This window comes from Homo sapiens, chromosome 5, assembly GCF_000001405.40.
Source record: "Homo sapiens chromosome 5, GRCh38.p14 Primary Assembly".
In the NCBI taxonomy this organism is placed as follows: domain Eukaryota; kingdom Metazoa; phylum Chordata; class Mammalia; order Primates; family Hominidae; genus Homo; species Homo sapiens.
The window spans coordinates 173,118,039-173,133,432 of NC_000005.10; the positions used below are offsets into that span (position 1 = coordinate 173,118,039).

Genomic DNA, 15,394 nt, shown 5'->3' on the forward strand with positions numbered 1-15,394 from the left:
AATTTTTTTGTATTTTTAGTAGAGACAGGGTTTCACCATGTTAGCCAGGATGGTCTCGATCTCCTGACCTTATGATCCGCCTGCCTCGGCCTCCCAAAGTGCTGGGATTACAGGCGTGAGCCACGGTGCCTGGCCTGATTTTTGTAATTTTAGTAGAGACAGGGTTATGCCATGTTGGCCAGGCTGGTTTCGAACTCCTGGCCTCAAGTGATCCACCCGCCTCGGCCTCCCAAAGTGCTGGATGGGATTACAGGCATGAGCCACCATGCCTGGCCCTCACTGGCATCTTTCAAAGATCAAACATTTTTAATTTTGATGAATCAATTTGTCAGTTTTTTTAATATTTCATGATGTTTTGTGTTGTAAGAAACCTTTGCCAACTCCAGCATTTACAAATCTTTTCTTGTATTTTTTTTTTCTTAGCATTTACGTAGTTTTAGGTTTTGCATTTAGGCTTATGATCTTTTTTAGGTCAATTTTTGCATATGGTATAAGGTAAAAGATGATGTTCATATTTTCCCATATAAATATCTGGTTGATCAGGCACCATACATTGAAAAGACTTTCCCTTCCCCATTGAATTGTTTTTGCACCTTTGTTCAGTCAATAGACCACATATTTATGGGTTTACTTCTAGATATTGTATTCTGTTTCATTGATACATTTATCTTCCTTTATGTGGATACAAAACTTTTTTTTTTTTTTTTAAATAGAGACAGGGCTGGGCATGGTGGCTCATGCCTGTAATCCTAGCACTTTGGGAGGTCAATTGGGAGTATTGCTTGAGGCCAAGAGTTCAAGACCAACCTGGCCAACATAGTGAGACCCTTGTCTCTATTTAAAATTATTTTTAAAAAAGAAAAAAAGATTAAAAAAAAACATAGATGGGGTCTCGCTGTCTTGCCTCGAACTCCTGGGCTCAAGCGATCATCCCATCTTGGCCTCCCAAAGAGCTGGGATTACAGGCATGAGCCATTGCACCCAGTCATGTAGATAGAAAATTGTCTTGATCACTGTACAGAACTGTCTTGATTACTGTAAATCTTTAAGTCAGGTAGGGCTAGTTCTTGTTAGACCTCCAATTTTGCTCTTTTTGTTTAAATCTGTTTTGGCTATTACAGGTCTTTTGCATGTCTATATAGATTTTCAAATTACTTTATCATCTTTTACAGAAAAGCTTACTGGAATTTTAATTGGGATTGCTTTGAATCTTTAGATCTATTTAGAGAGAATTACTATCTTAAAATGGAGTTTTCCGATCCATGGACCTGGTATCTCTCTCTACCTAGCTAAGTCTTCTTTAGTTTCTCTCTGTCATCTTTTACAGTGTTCAGTGTAGAGTGCTTGAACATCTTTTATTAGATGTAGTCCTGAGTATTTTATGTTTTTTAGTGCTTCTGTAAATGGAATTGCTTTTGAAATTTTATATTTGAGTTCTTTGGTATTAATATATAAAACATATTTTTGTGTATTACTCTTAGTTCCAGTAGTAGGTATGTAGATTCCCTGGGATTTTCTGCTGACACAGTCATCATCTGCAAATAGGAATGGTTTTATTTATTCCTTTCTGATCTTTATGGCTTTTGTTTTTCTGCCTTATCAAAATGTCTAGAACAGCCACAATATTAAATAGAGTGGTGATTGCCTTGTTTACAATCTCAGGGGAAACCTTTTATCTTTAGGTATGATGTTTGTGTTGTACTTTTTTGTAGATGAGATGCCCTTTATCATTTTGAGAAAATTTCCTGCTATTTCTAGTTTTGTTTATTATGAATGGGTGTTGATGATTTTTTTGCATCTATTGGAACAATCATGTATTGTTCTCTTTTATTCTGTTAATACATCACATATTCATCTGTTAAAGTGGCAAATTACATTTGTTAATATTTGGATGTTAAGCCAACCTTGCATTCTTGGAATAAACGCTACTTGGTTATGATATATCTTCCTTTTTATATTGGAATCTATTGCTAATATTTCATATTATTCTATTCTAATATTATATGTTGGATTCCATTGTTAATGCTTTGTTAAGGATTTTGTGTCTACATTCAAGAGGAATATTGGTCTATGATTTTTATTTTCTTTTTTTTAAAAGGTTTTAGTACCAGGGCTATACTGGCCTTATAGAATTAATTGGACCATGATCTCTCTTTCTTTTTTGTTTGACAAAGTTTTATAAGATCAATTTTATTTCTTCATTGTATCTATGATAGAATTTGCTATTAAAACCTTCTGGGTTCTTTTTTTGGGGAAGATACTTGGTAATTTCAATTCTTTTACTAGAAAAAGCTATTCAGATGCTTTATTTCTTCTTGTATGGATTTTCTTTTTCTTTCTTTCTTTCTTTTTTTTTTTTGAGACAGTATCTCACTCTGTTGCTCAGGCTGGAGTGCAGTGGCACGATCTCAGCTCACTGCAACCTCTGCCTCCCGGGTTCAAGCAATTCTCATGCCTCAGTCTCCTGAGTAGCTGGGATTACAGGCATACACCACCATGCCTGGCTAATTATTTTTATTTTTAGTATAGATGGGGTTTCACTGTGTTGGCCAGGCTGGTCTGGAACACCTGGCCTCAAGTGATCCACCCATCTCGGCCTCCCAAAGTGCTGGGATTACAGATGTGAGCCACCGTGCCTGAGCCTCTTTTTTTTTTTTTTTTTTTTTTTTTTTTTGAGATGGAGTCTTGCTTGTTGCCCAGGCTGGAGTGCAGTGGTGCAATCACAGCTCACTGTAACCTCCGCCTCCCAGCTTCAAGCGATTTTCTTGCCTCAGCCTCCTGAGTAGCTGGGATTACAGGCACCTGCCACCAAGCCCAGCTAATTTTTATATTTTATTAGACATGGGGTTTCGTCATGTTGGCTAGGCTGGTCTTGAACTTCTGATCTGGGGTGATTCACCCGCCTCAGCCTCCCAAAGTACTGGGATTACAGGCACGAGCCACCGCGTCCGGCCTTCCTGGCTTCTTATGTGGATTTTAAATTGTGTTTTCAAGAAATTTGTTCATTTCACCCAAGTTGTTAAATTTGTTAGCACCATATTTTCTTATTATCCTTTTAATATCTGTAGATTCTAAAGTGATAACAACACCTTTTTCGTTACTGATATGAGTGATTGGTGTTGTCTCTTATTTTTCATGATGGATCTACCTGGGTAGGGGGTTGTCAGTGTTATTGATCATTTCAAGGAACCAGCTTTTGGCTTTGTTAATTTTCCTTATTGTATATTTTCTGTTACATACATTTCTGCTCTTTATTATTTCCCTCCTTTACTTACTTTGAGTTAACTTGCTTTTTTTTTTTTGAGTTGGAGTCTTGCTCTGTTGTCCAGGCTGGAGTGCAGTGGCGCAGTCTCGGCTCACTGCAAGCTCCGCCTCCTGAGTTCATGCTATTCTCCTGCCTCAGCCTCCTGAGTAGCTGGGACTACAGGCACCTGCCACCACGCCCAACTAATTTTTTGTATTTTTAGTAGAGACAGGGTTTCACCGTGTTAGCCAGGTTGGTCTCTATCTCCTGACCCCGTGATCCGCCCGCCTTGGCCTCCCAAAGTGCTGGGATTACAGGTGTGAGCCACCACGCCTGGCCTTAACTTGCTTTTTGTTCTGTTTTGTTTTAAAGCTTTTCAAGGTGGGGAAATCTGTTTTTAAAGCTTTTGTTTTTGAGGGACTTGGTTTGATTTATTTAATAAACATTTACTAAGGTCCTGTGATTCGATATAGCAGGCACTATCAGGTCTTAAAGCAATGAAGACAAGTAGGGCAAGTTGCTTACAGGTTAGTGGACATCGATGCATGTCTACAGTGTGTTGTCTTTTTTCCTTGCCATTTTTTTTAGTTGGAGATGGGGTCTCACTGTGGTACCTAGGCTGGAGCACAGCGGCTATTCACAGTCACCATCCTAGTGCAACTGCCTGCAACTCCTGGGCTAAAGCCATTCCCCTGCCTCAGCCTCCCAAGTAGCTGGGACTGCAGGTGCACACCACCACACCTGGCTACAGTGTGTTATCAAAAGTGCATACCCAGTAATCTTGAGGGTTTTGTTGTTGTTGTTGTTGTTTGCTGCTGTTGTTGTTGTTGTTTTTTGAGAGGGAGTCTTGCTCTGTTAGCCCAGGCTGGAGTGCAGTGGCAAGATCTTGGTTCACTGCAACCTCCACCTCCTGGGTTCAGGTAATTCTCCTGCCTCAGCCTCTGGAATAGCTGTGACTATAGGCACATGCCACCACACCTGGCTAATTTTCGTGGTTTTATTAGACACAGGGTTTCACCGTTTGGCCAGGCTGGTCTCGAACTCCTGACCTCATGCAGTCCACCTGCCTTGGTCTCCCAAAGTGTTGGGATTATAGGCGTGAGCCACTGCACCTGGCTAATCTTGAGATATTTTTAAAAAACAAGTGCCACATCATTTGAAATCAGTTTCTTTGTATAGGAGCTGCTTATAATCATTACTGCTTAATGCTTTCTTACACATTCTCCATTTCTTTTTTTTTTTGAGCATAGAATTTTTTTTATTTGTTGGTGTCATCTATTATTTCTTTTATTATTATTATTATTATTATTATTATTATTATTATTATTATTATACTTTAAGTTTTAGGGTACATGTGCACAATGTGCCAGTTAGTTACATATGTATACATGTGCCATGCTGGTGTGCTGCACCCATTAACTCGTCATTTAGCATTAGGTATATCTCCTAATGCTATCCCTCCCCCCTCCCCCCACCCCACAACAGTCCCCAGAGTGTGATGTTCCCCTTCCTGTGTCCATGTGTTCTCATTGTTCAATTCCCATCTATGAGTGAGAACATGCGGTGTTTGGTTTTTTGTCCTTGCGATAGTTTACTGAGAATGATGATTTCCAATTTCATCCATGTCCCTACAAAGGACATGAACTCATCATTTTTTATGGCTGCATAGTATTCCATGGTGTATATGTGCCACATTTTCTTAATCCAGTCCATTTCTTAATTATCTGTTATTACATAATTAAAAGGAAAGTCTTTCATGGTAGTGACATATTCCAAGTGTTTTGTTCTGTCTTACAGATAATTTATTGTTTGTAATCAACTCCATCAAGCAAGAGATTGTAAACCGGGTACAGAATCCAAGAGATGAGAGAGGACCCAACATGGGGCAGAAGCTTGAAATCCTCATTAAAGATACTCTCGGTAAGAAGAATGCGAGATAAATTCATAACAATTAATAATATGTGTAAGATGTATGATTTAAGGGGATATTAAAAGTTCTTTTAGTTTAAGGAAAAACTCAAGTGCTCTCATTGTAATTACTCTCCTTTATGAGTAGTTTTATCTTTTGAGATTTAGTGTTCATAAACATGTGTTGCAGGTGACCACAACTTGTAATTTAGACTTAATCATGAAACTATTTTAACATTTAAGAAAAACAAACTTCTAGCAACTTTAACCTTTCATGGAGGACAAAAGGTCCCAGAGCTGTCAAGCCTGCAGTTTGCACTTTAGTGTAGAGATTCTTACTTGTTTTACTCAGTAATGCATTTCACAGGATTCCCACAAACTTGGCTCTCTGGTTTCCCATCCCTGAACAGATTGCACAATGTGGGGAGGATCAGAGGGCAGGGATCTAGACGTCAGGCCAACTGAGAGCTGACAGGGAAGAGAGAGCTAGCTAGTATAGACATAGACATGAGAATCAGCTCAGCTGCTGTAGGAGAAAGTCACTGACAGACAGTAGCATCCAAGGCATCCAGCGTTATATGACCCACGAAAACCCCCAAAATTAAATATACACAATAAAAGGTCAAATGTTTTTCTTGAACAAAAGTATATTTATATTGAAAACAATCAGGTGAAGAGTAGACCCTAATCGCCAGTATTTTCCTCAGCAATCACTTACCTCCTGCTTCCATATGGATTAATTCTGTGCTTGACTTTTTCTTCAAATGGGTTGATGCTATTTTAATTTTTTATGTATTCTTTCATAGCATTTCTTTCTTTTCTTTCCTTTTATTTTTAAAAGCATTTTTATTCTTCCTTTATTAGCTACAGGGGGAAATTTAACATTACAAGAAAAAGTTATTTTTACCTTTTTATTTTTTAATATAAACATCTATATGTTTGGTAAGCTTATGTACTCCTTTACACTTGAAAGTCAGTTTTACCAGGTATAAAATCCTCAACTCGTATTTTCTTTCCTTGAGTATCTTGAATATGAGTCTCCATTTTCTTTTGGCATAAAGTGTTGCTATAGAAAAGCTAATACTGGCTGGGCTTGGTGGCTCATGCCTGTAATCCCAACACTTTGGGAGGCCAAGGCGGGCAGATCACTTGAGGTCAGGAGTTCGAGACCAGCCTGGCCAACATGGTAAAACCCTGTCTCTACTAAACATACAAAAATTAGCTGGGCGTGGTGGCAGGTGCCTGTAATCCCAGGTACTTGGGAGGCTGAGGCAGGAGAATCGCTTGAATGCAGGAGGGGTGGAGGTTACAGTGAGCCAAGATTAGACCACTGCACTCTAGCCTGGGTGACAGAGCAAAACTCTGTCTCAAAAAAAAAAAAAAAAAAAGAAAAAAGAAAAGCCAATATTGACTAATTATTTTTTCCTTATAAGTACTTTGCTGTTTTTGCTTAGGTGCCAAAAGGATTTTTTCTTTAAATACCAGTGATTTTGCTAAGTTATATCTTAGAGTTGGTCATTTTTAGTTGACATTTTTATGTTTATACTGTGTTCTTTCAATATGTACTTTCAAATGTTTTTAGTGTTTGATCTGTTCCCTTGCTTTGCTTTTCTTCTGTAGGGACTCTTATTATCTATAGATTGGCTCTTTTTGGCCCATCTTTAGTATTCGTCTGTCTTTCTTTTCTCTTTTCTTCTTCTTTCTTCCTTCTTCTTCTTTCTTCTTCTTCTTTTTTTTTTTTTTTTTGAGACAGTGTTTTGCTCTGTCACCCAGGCAGTAGTGCAGTGGCACAATCTTAGCTCACTGCAGCCTCCACCTCCCAGGTTCAGGTGATTCTCCTGCCTCAGCCTCCTGAGTAGCTGGGATTACAGGCACCCACCACCACACCTGGCTAATTTTTGTATTTTTTAGTAGAGGTGGGGTTTCACCATGTTGGCCAGGCTGGTCTCGAACTCCTGACTTCAAATGATCTTCCTGCCTTGTGTCACTTTTTCTTGAATCATTTTTATCTCTTCATTTTTAACATTATTTCTCCTTTTTACCTTCTGTTTCTCTTAAAGCATTATTTGCTGTCATTACTTGCTGATCTTAGGTTCCTTTTACTTTCAGGAATTTTCCCCTGTATTTCTAATTATTTTCTGAATTCTGTCACCTTATTTCTTAGTTATTCTATTTCTGATTTATGTTCTTTCATGTATCGTGCCATTTTCTTTAATGTCTTTTATTCTCTTTTTTCTTAGAAAAAGTTGTGGGATTCTGACCTTGATACTTCTCTGTTGTTCATATATGTGTGAAATTAGTTCCTCTGAACTTTTAAAAGAAGGTTTGGTTCAGAATAGCTTTTCTTTTTTCACAGAGTCTCCGCTTTTCAGTTAACATTTAAAAACATGGCATCCGGGCACGGTGGCTCACGCCTGTAATCCCAGCACTTTGGGAGGCCGAGGCAGGCAGATCACGAGGTCAGGAGATCGAGATCATCCTGGCTAACATGGTGAAACCCCGTCTCTACTAAAAATACAAAAAAAAAGCTGGGTGTGGTGGCACGCGCCGGTAGTCCCAGCTACTTGGGAGGCTGAGGCAGGAGAATTGCTTGAACCCAGGAGGCAGAGGTTACAGTGAGCCAAGATTGTGCCACTGCGCTCCCGCCTGGGCGACAGAGCGAGACTCCTTTTCAAAAAAACAAAACAAAACAAAAAAACATGGCACGCCAGGTTTGGTGGCTTTTTCCTGTAATCCCAGTCACTTGGAAGGCTGAGGCAGGAGGATCATGTGAGGTCAAGAGTTCTAGACCAGCCTGGGCAACATGGCAACCCATCTCTGAAACAAAAACAAAAAAATGGCACCTGTCTTTCTGAGATTTCTTGTTCTGCTTCCCTCCCTCATTTTATTTGGACCATCTCTGTTTCATATCTTTAGTTCCTTTCTTGCTCAATGTTAATTTCAACCCCAGGGTTTTTTGTTTTGTTTTGAGACAGAGTCTCACTCTGTCGCCCAGGCTGGAGTGCAGTGGCGTGATCTTGGCTCCCTGCAGCCTCTGCCTCCCAGGTTCAAGCGATTTTCCTGCCTCAGCCTCCCCAGTAGCTGGGATTACAGGTGCACACCACCACGCCCGGCTGATTTTTGTGTTTTTACTGGGGATGGGGTTTCACCATGTTGGCCAGGCTAGTATCAAACTCCTGACATCAAGTGATCTGCCCGCCTTGGCCTCCCAAAGTATTGGGATTACAGGCCTGAGCCACTGCACCTGGCCAGTTTTTTTTGTTTTATCACGGCTTGCTCCTGTCCTGCAAGAGTCCTGGCTGGTCCATTTTCAGAGTTCACAGAGGCTCAACTGTGGGCCCCTTCACTTCTGACTGTGGGCTCCTTGTACTCACCTTGTATTCAATATTGGGTTGGAGAAAATCCCTCACAGCGTTAGCTGCAGTTCTCAAGTTGACTCTGCTGTACTTGCCAGTGGGTAACCTATTCGCTATATGGAAATTTTTTTTTGTTCTCATGTCCATTACTTCCTTTTGGCCCATCCACATAAATATTGATAAATATTGATAATGCTGTTGCCATACATGTCTTAAAGCTTTTGGTAGTTTGTTCCTACCTTCTTGAATGTTCCTAGGGATACCTTATCACTTGTAAATGTTTTCCATGGGTTTATGGTTTTGCCATTTAGTTGCTCTGTTTTTATATGGGGAAATGAAGATTAAAAATCTATGTGGTGGCTGAGCACAGTGGCTCATGCCTGTAATCCCAACACTTTGGGAGGCTGAGGTGGGAGGATCGATTGAGGTCAGGAGCTCAAGACCAGCCTGAACCTGGAAGGTCAAGGCTTCAATGAGCAGGGTGATTGCACCACTGCACTCCAGCCTGGGCAACAGAGTGAGACCCTTTCTCAAAAACAACAATAACAACAACTATACAGCTGTCTTCCCAGAATTTGCCTCTGGACCAGTTTAAATGGGTTGGAGTTTCTTTTTCTTTTTTTTTTTTTTTTTTTTGAGACAGTCTCCCTCTGTCACCCAGGCTAGAGTGCAGTGGCACTATCTTGACTCACTGCAACCTCCGCCTCCTGGGTTCAAGTGGTTCTTATGCCTCAGCCTTCTGAGTAGCATGTTCCACCATGTGCAGCTAATTTTTGTATTTTTAATGGAGACGGGGTTTCACCACCTTGGCCAGGATGGTCTCAAAGTCCTGACCTCAAGTGATCTTCCCGCCTCAGCCTCTCAAAGTGCTATAGTCATGAGCCACTGAGCCTAGCTGAGTTTCTTTTTCTTTTCTTTTTTTTTTTTTTTTGAGATGGGGTCTCGCTGTGTCACCCAGGATAGAGTGCAGTTGCACGATCTCGGCTTACTGCAACCTCTGCCTCCCAGATTCAAGCGATTCTCCTGCCTCAGCCTCCCAAGTAGCTGGGACTACAGGCGCATGCCACCGCGCCCGGCTAATTTTTGTATTTTTAGTAGAGATGGGGTTTCACCATCTTGGCCAGGCTGGTCTCAAACTCCTAACCTCGTGATCCACCCACCTCAGCCTCCCAAAGTGCTGGGATTACAGGCGTGAGCCACTGCGCCTGGCCTGAGTTTATTTTTCTTAAAGGTAATTTCTCTGTCAGGTTACAAATTCTTCTGGAGTCATTTTTGATAATTTACGTATTCCTGAAAAATTACTTCCTCCTGGGCCTCAAATTTATTAAAAGTGAGCAAAGCATTTTTGTTTGATTTTTGATTTCTTCTATATCTGTTGTTACTGTTCCATTTTCATTTATTATTTTGTGTCTGTTCTCCCTTATTTCTTGATTCATTATAGGTTATTCTACTTTCTCCCCCCCAAAACCAGCTCTTAACTTACCAATTCTAATTTCTTGAGTTGTTAGATGCTTAATTTTTTTCTTTTTATTCTTTCTTGACCATTCATATAAATAACAGCCTTTGAATTTTCTTCTTAGAGCTACTTTAGCTGATTAAAATTCTGACATAAGTTCTGATTTGTCATTTTTATTGTTTTCTGAATACTTTGAAATTTTAGGTTTGATTTACTCTTTAACCCAAGAATTCTTTGAGAGAGATTTAAAATTTCCCCCAGCAGGTAGGGATTATTGTTTTCTAGTTTTATTACTGACCTCCAGTTTTTTGTGGATTTATTGAGATTTTCTTGGCTACCTAATATAAGATTACAATTTTTAATGTTCTGCGGGAGTTTTAAAAGAAGATGTATTTTCTGTTTTATAATAAGATTCCCACATATCGACTAGGTATTTTTAATAAAGTTTTTTCCTTTTTTTTTTTGGTGTGGCAGTCCATTTACTCTGTGTAGAACTGAGAAAAGTTCCCAGTAATGTATTTCAGTTTCATCTCATATTTTCTGTGTTTTTGCTTCTGAATGTCAGGATGTTTGAATAGTATTTATTAGTACTAAATCTGCATTATGAACTACAGTTTTTATCATCACGAAGTACACTTCTTGTCTGGTATTATCACGAATGCAGCTTTCTTATTATATTTGTTTGGTATTGTTTCTAATCTTATTATTTATATTTGTTTGGTATTCCTTTGTCTACTCTTTTATTTTCAATCCTTCTGAATCATTTTATTTTATTTTATTTTATTTATTTATTTTTGAGACGGAGTCTCGCTCTGTACCCCAGGCTGGAGTGCAGTGGCTCGATCTCGGCTCACCTTATGCTCCGCCTCCCGGGCTCACACCATTCTCCTGCCTCAGCCGCCGGAGTAGCTGGGACTACAGGTGCCCGCCACCATGCCCGGCGAATTTTTTGTATTTTTAGTGGAGATGGGGTTTCACCATGTTAGCCAGGATGGTCTCGATCTCCTGACCTCGTGATCCACCCGCCTCGGCCTCCCATAGTGCTGGGATTACAGGCGTGAGCCACCGTGCCCGGCCTCTGAATCATTTTATATTAGTTACATCTTTTTTTTTTTTTTTTTTTTTTTTTTTTGAGACGGAGTCTCGCTCTATTGCCCAGGCTGGAGTGCAGTGGCGCGATCTCGGCTCACTGCAAACTCCACCTCCCGGGTTCAAGCGATTCTCCTGCCTCAGCCTCCCGAGTAGCTGGGACTACAGGCACCTGCCACTGCGCCCGGCTAATTTTTTGTATTTTTAGTAGAGACGAGGTTTCACCGTGTCAGCCAGGATGGTCTTGATCTCCTGACCTCGTGATCCACCAGCCTCGGCCTCCCAAAGTGCTGGGATTACAGGCATGAGCCACCGCGCCCGGCCAGTTACATCTTTTTAAAACATTTTAGCCAGGTGCAGTGGCTTACAGCTATAATCTCAACATTTTGGGAGACCAAGGCAGGAGGATCACTTGAGCCCAAGAGTTCGAAGCCAGCTTGGGCAACATAAGGAGACCCCATTTCTAGAAAAAAAATACAAAAAGTTAGCCAGGCATGGTGATGCGAGCCTGTAATCCCAGCTTCTCAGGAGACTGAGGCGAGAGGATCGCTTTTGCCCAGGAGATGGAGGCTGCAGTGAGCCAAGATCGTGCCATTGTACTCCAGCCTGAGTGACAGACCTCATCTCAAAAAAAAAAAAAAAAAAAATACACACACACAAAACATTTTAGTTAAATTAAAATGTAACTTAATTTTAATTCAGATATCAGAAAATTTTTTCTTAGATTTTTTTGTTTGTTTGTTTTTTGTTTTTGAGACAGAGTCTCGCTCTGTCGCCCAGACTGGAGTGTAATGGAGTGATCTCAGTTCACTGCACCTCTGCCTCCCAGGTTCAAGCGATTCTCCTGCCTCAGCCTCCTGAGTAGCTGGGATTACAGGCACATGCCACCACGCCTGGCTAATTTTTGTATTTTAGTAGAGACGGGGTTTCACCATGTTGTTCAGGCTGGCCTCAAACTCCTGACCTTGTGATCCACCCACCTCGGCCTCCCAGAGTGCTGGGATTACAGGCGTGAGCCACCACGCTCGGCCTAGATTTTTTTATGTAGCATGTATTTGGATTTTTTTTGTTATTTATTCTGGAGGTTGTACTTTAATAGGTGAGTTTAGCTCATTTTTAAAAAAATTGATCTATGTTTGGTTTTAGTGCTGTCATCAAAAGATCTGCTAGAGTTTGTTTATGTGGCCTTTTTTTTGCCTTTACATGATCCATTATGGTTTCACTTTTGTTTGTATCCTCTGATAATTTTCAAAGCTTTGTGTTTTTACCTTGTGGATTGGCTTTTAACTGTAACATAAAATGTATACTTATTTTGTCTGTCAACTTTTCATTTAAGATTTTAATCCTATAGAAAAGGAGAAAGAATTGTACGATGAACATATATGTTTCGTTCAACTGGATTTACCAGTTGTTTTCACTGTTCTTTAAAATTCATTGCTTTTTTTTTTTTTAGAAACCAGTCTCGCTCTGTCACCCAGGCTGGAATGCAGTGGTGCTATCATAGCTCACTGCAGCCTCCAACTCCTGGACTCAAGTGATCTTTCAGCACCAACTCCCAAGTAGCTAGGACTACAGATGTGCGCCACCATGTCCAGCTAATTTATTTATTTTTATTTTTATTTTTATTTTTATTTTTGAAATGGAGTCTCACTCTGTCTCCCAGGCTGGAGTGCAGTGGCGTGATCTTGGCTCACTGCAACCTCTGCCTAGCAGATTTAAATGATTCTCCTGCCTCAGCTGACTCCCAAGTCACTGGTCGTACACCACCATGCCTGGCTAATGTTTTTGCATTTTTAGTAGAGACAGGGTTTCACCATGTTGGCCAGGCTGGTCTCAAACTCCTGACCCCAAGTGATCCGCCCACCTTGGCCACCCAAAGTGCTGGGATTACGGGCATGAGCCAGCTCACGTGGCCAGCAGCAAACTTATTTTTATGTTTGTAGAGACGGGTTCTTGCTGTGTTGCCCAGGCTAAGCTCAAGTGATCCTTCCGCCTCAGCTTCCCAAAGCACTGGGATTATAGGCATGAGCCACCCCACCCAGCCCTCACCAGTTGTTAATATTTTGCTACATTTGCTTTATTTCTACCTCTATCTACATGTGTATTTTGGACAGGGAATATTTGAAAATAACTCGTAAAAATCATGATTCTTTGTCTCTAACTATTTTAGCCTGTATTGCTTGAAAACAAGGACATTCTCTTAGCCACAACGCCAGTGTCACATCCTAGTGCTTCAACATTGATATAATATCTAATATGGAATCCATTTTCCCAGTTGTCTCAATAATGTCCATTATAGCATTTTTTTGTGTGTGTGATCCAGTCGAGGATCATGCATTGCATTTAGTCATATCTCTTCTTTTGTTTTCTTTAGTCTACATCAGTCTCCCCATCTTATTTTATTTTTATGAAAAATCCAGGTCTTGTAAAATGTCTCAACATTTGGATTTATCTGTTTCCTCATGACTAAATGCAGTTAGATTTTCTGGTAAGAATACATCATACAACCTTTTCATTCCATCAGTCAAGAGGCACATAATATCAGATTGTCTCATTATTTGTCATGCTAAGTTTGATCACATGGTTAAGCTTGTATATATGTATACACACACACACACACACACACACACACACACACACTTTTTTTTGTTTGTTTTTGGAGACGGAGTCTTGCTCTGTCACCCTGGCTGGAGTGCAGTAGTGCAATCTCAGCTCACTGCAACCTCTGCCTCCTAGGTTCAAGTGGTTCTCCTATCTCAGCCTCCTAAGTAGCTGGCATTACAGGTGCCTGCCACCATGCCCAGCTAATTTTTGTATTTTTAGTAAAGGCAGGGTTTCAACTTGTTGGCCAGGCTGGTCTCAAACTCCTGACCTGTGCTCTGCCCACTTCGGCCTCCTAAAGTGCTGAGATGACAGGCCTGAGCCACCATGCCCGGCCAGTATTTTTTATGATATCTTTTGACTTCTTCCTATGAGCAATGACAAATATATTTCTTTTTTTTTTTTTTTTTGAGATGGAGTTTCACTCTTGTTGCCCAGGCTGGAGTGCGGTGGCACAATCTTGACTCATTGCAGTCTCTGCCTCCTGGGTTCAAGCAATTTTCCTGCCTCAGCCTCCTGAGTAGCTGGGATTACAGGTACCCGCCACCATGCCCAGCTAATTTTTTGTATTTTTCGTAGAGACAGGATTTCACCATGTTGGCCAGGCTGGTCTCAAACTCCTGACCTCAGGTGATCTGCCTGCCTTGGCCTCCCAAAGCGTTGGTATTACAGGCGTGAGCCACTGCGCCCAGCCGACAAATTCTTTTTCCTTTCCCTCCCCTCCCCTCCCCTCCCCTCCCCTCCCCTCCCCTCCCCTCCCCCCCTCCCCTCCCCTCCCCTCCCCCTCCCCTCCCCCTCCCCTCCCTCTTTCCTCCCCCTCCCCTCCCTCTTTCCTCCCCCTCCCCTCCCTCTTTCCTCCCCCTCCCCCTCCCCCTCCCCCTCCCCCTCCCCCTCCCCTCCCGTTCCTTTCCTTTTTTTTTTTTTGAGGCAGAGTTTCACTCTTGTTGCCCAGGCTGGGGTGCAGTGGCATGATCTTGGCTGGCCCCAACCTCCACCCCCCGGGTTCAAGCAGTTCTCCTGCGTCAGCCTCCCGAGTAGCTGGGATTATAGACATGTGCCACCACACCTGGGTAATTTTGTGTTTTCAGTAGAGACAGGGTTTCTCCATGTTGGTCAGGCTGGTCTTGAACTTCCGACCTCAGGTGATCTGCCGACCTCAGGTGATCCGCCAACCTCAGGTGATCCGCCTGCCTCAGCCTCCCAAAGTGCTAGGATTACAGGCCTGAGCCACCGTGCCTAGCTGACAAATATATTTCTATTTCCATCCTTTTTATTTTTCTTAATACTTAAAAAAATGTACTTATACCTCTGTTATTTGATTTAGTGATTTTATCTTTTGGTCTTACTATGGAAGATGAGGAAGATGAGAAAATCTACATACTTATGCTGCTCCCACCTTTCTCCCTCTTCTCTTCCAACATTTCTTATTCGTTCATTCACTTTTTTAAATGAAGAAAAGGAAACTTAAACTGTATCCAGTAATTATAAAAATGACCCAAAACATCCTTCAGGTCTATATTTTCAGTTTCATGGGTGAAACCTACCCATGGAACTTGGTGAGTTTAGAGTAATTGGAAGAGACTGGCTGAGAGAACAGGGAAAAACCAGGGCGTGGGAAGCAGTGCCTGTCGGCAGCCTTTGGGTTTGGGTTTGGACTGTTATTTGGACTGTTACACTTGTCATCTACCTCACTTTAAATGTTGGTTTATGATTTTTCATGGCTATCCTTGGTTTGACTTT

General features: G+C 41.3%; 1 protein-coding gene across 6 annotated transcripts in view, besides 1 other annotated feature; it reads left to right on the top strand.

Annotated features, from left to right (window-relative positions):
• CREBRF (CREB3 regulatory factor) overlaps nucleotides 1–15,394 on the top strand; it is an 82,933-nt gene that overhangs the window by 61,687 nt on the left and 5,852 nt on the right. For all 6 annotated transcript variants that reach the window (XM_005265821.4, NM_153607.3, XM_011534442.2 and 3 more), the window contains one exon: nucleotides 5,042–5,164. In XM_005265821.4, coding sequence (XP_005265878.1) covers nucleotides 5,042–5,164 — 123 coding nt within the window. The remainder of the gene's footprint in view (nucleotides 1–5,041; nucleotides 5,165–15,394) is intronic.
• Nucleotides 10,743–11,243: an enhancer, noted in NCBI's record as "H3K4me1 hESC enhancer chr5:172555784-172556284 (GRCh37/hg19 assembly coordinates)". NCBI's record gives its function as "activates a minimal SCP1, AML or CMV promoter by ChIP-STARR-seq in naive H9 embryonic stem cells {active_cell/tissue: H9 hESC(naive)}" and the evidence as "EXISTENCE:reporter gene assay evidence [ECO:0000049][PMID:30033119]".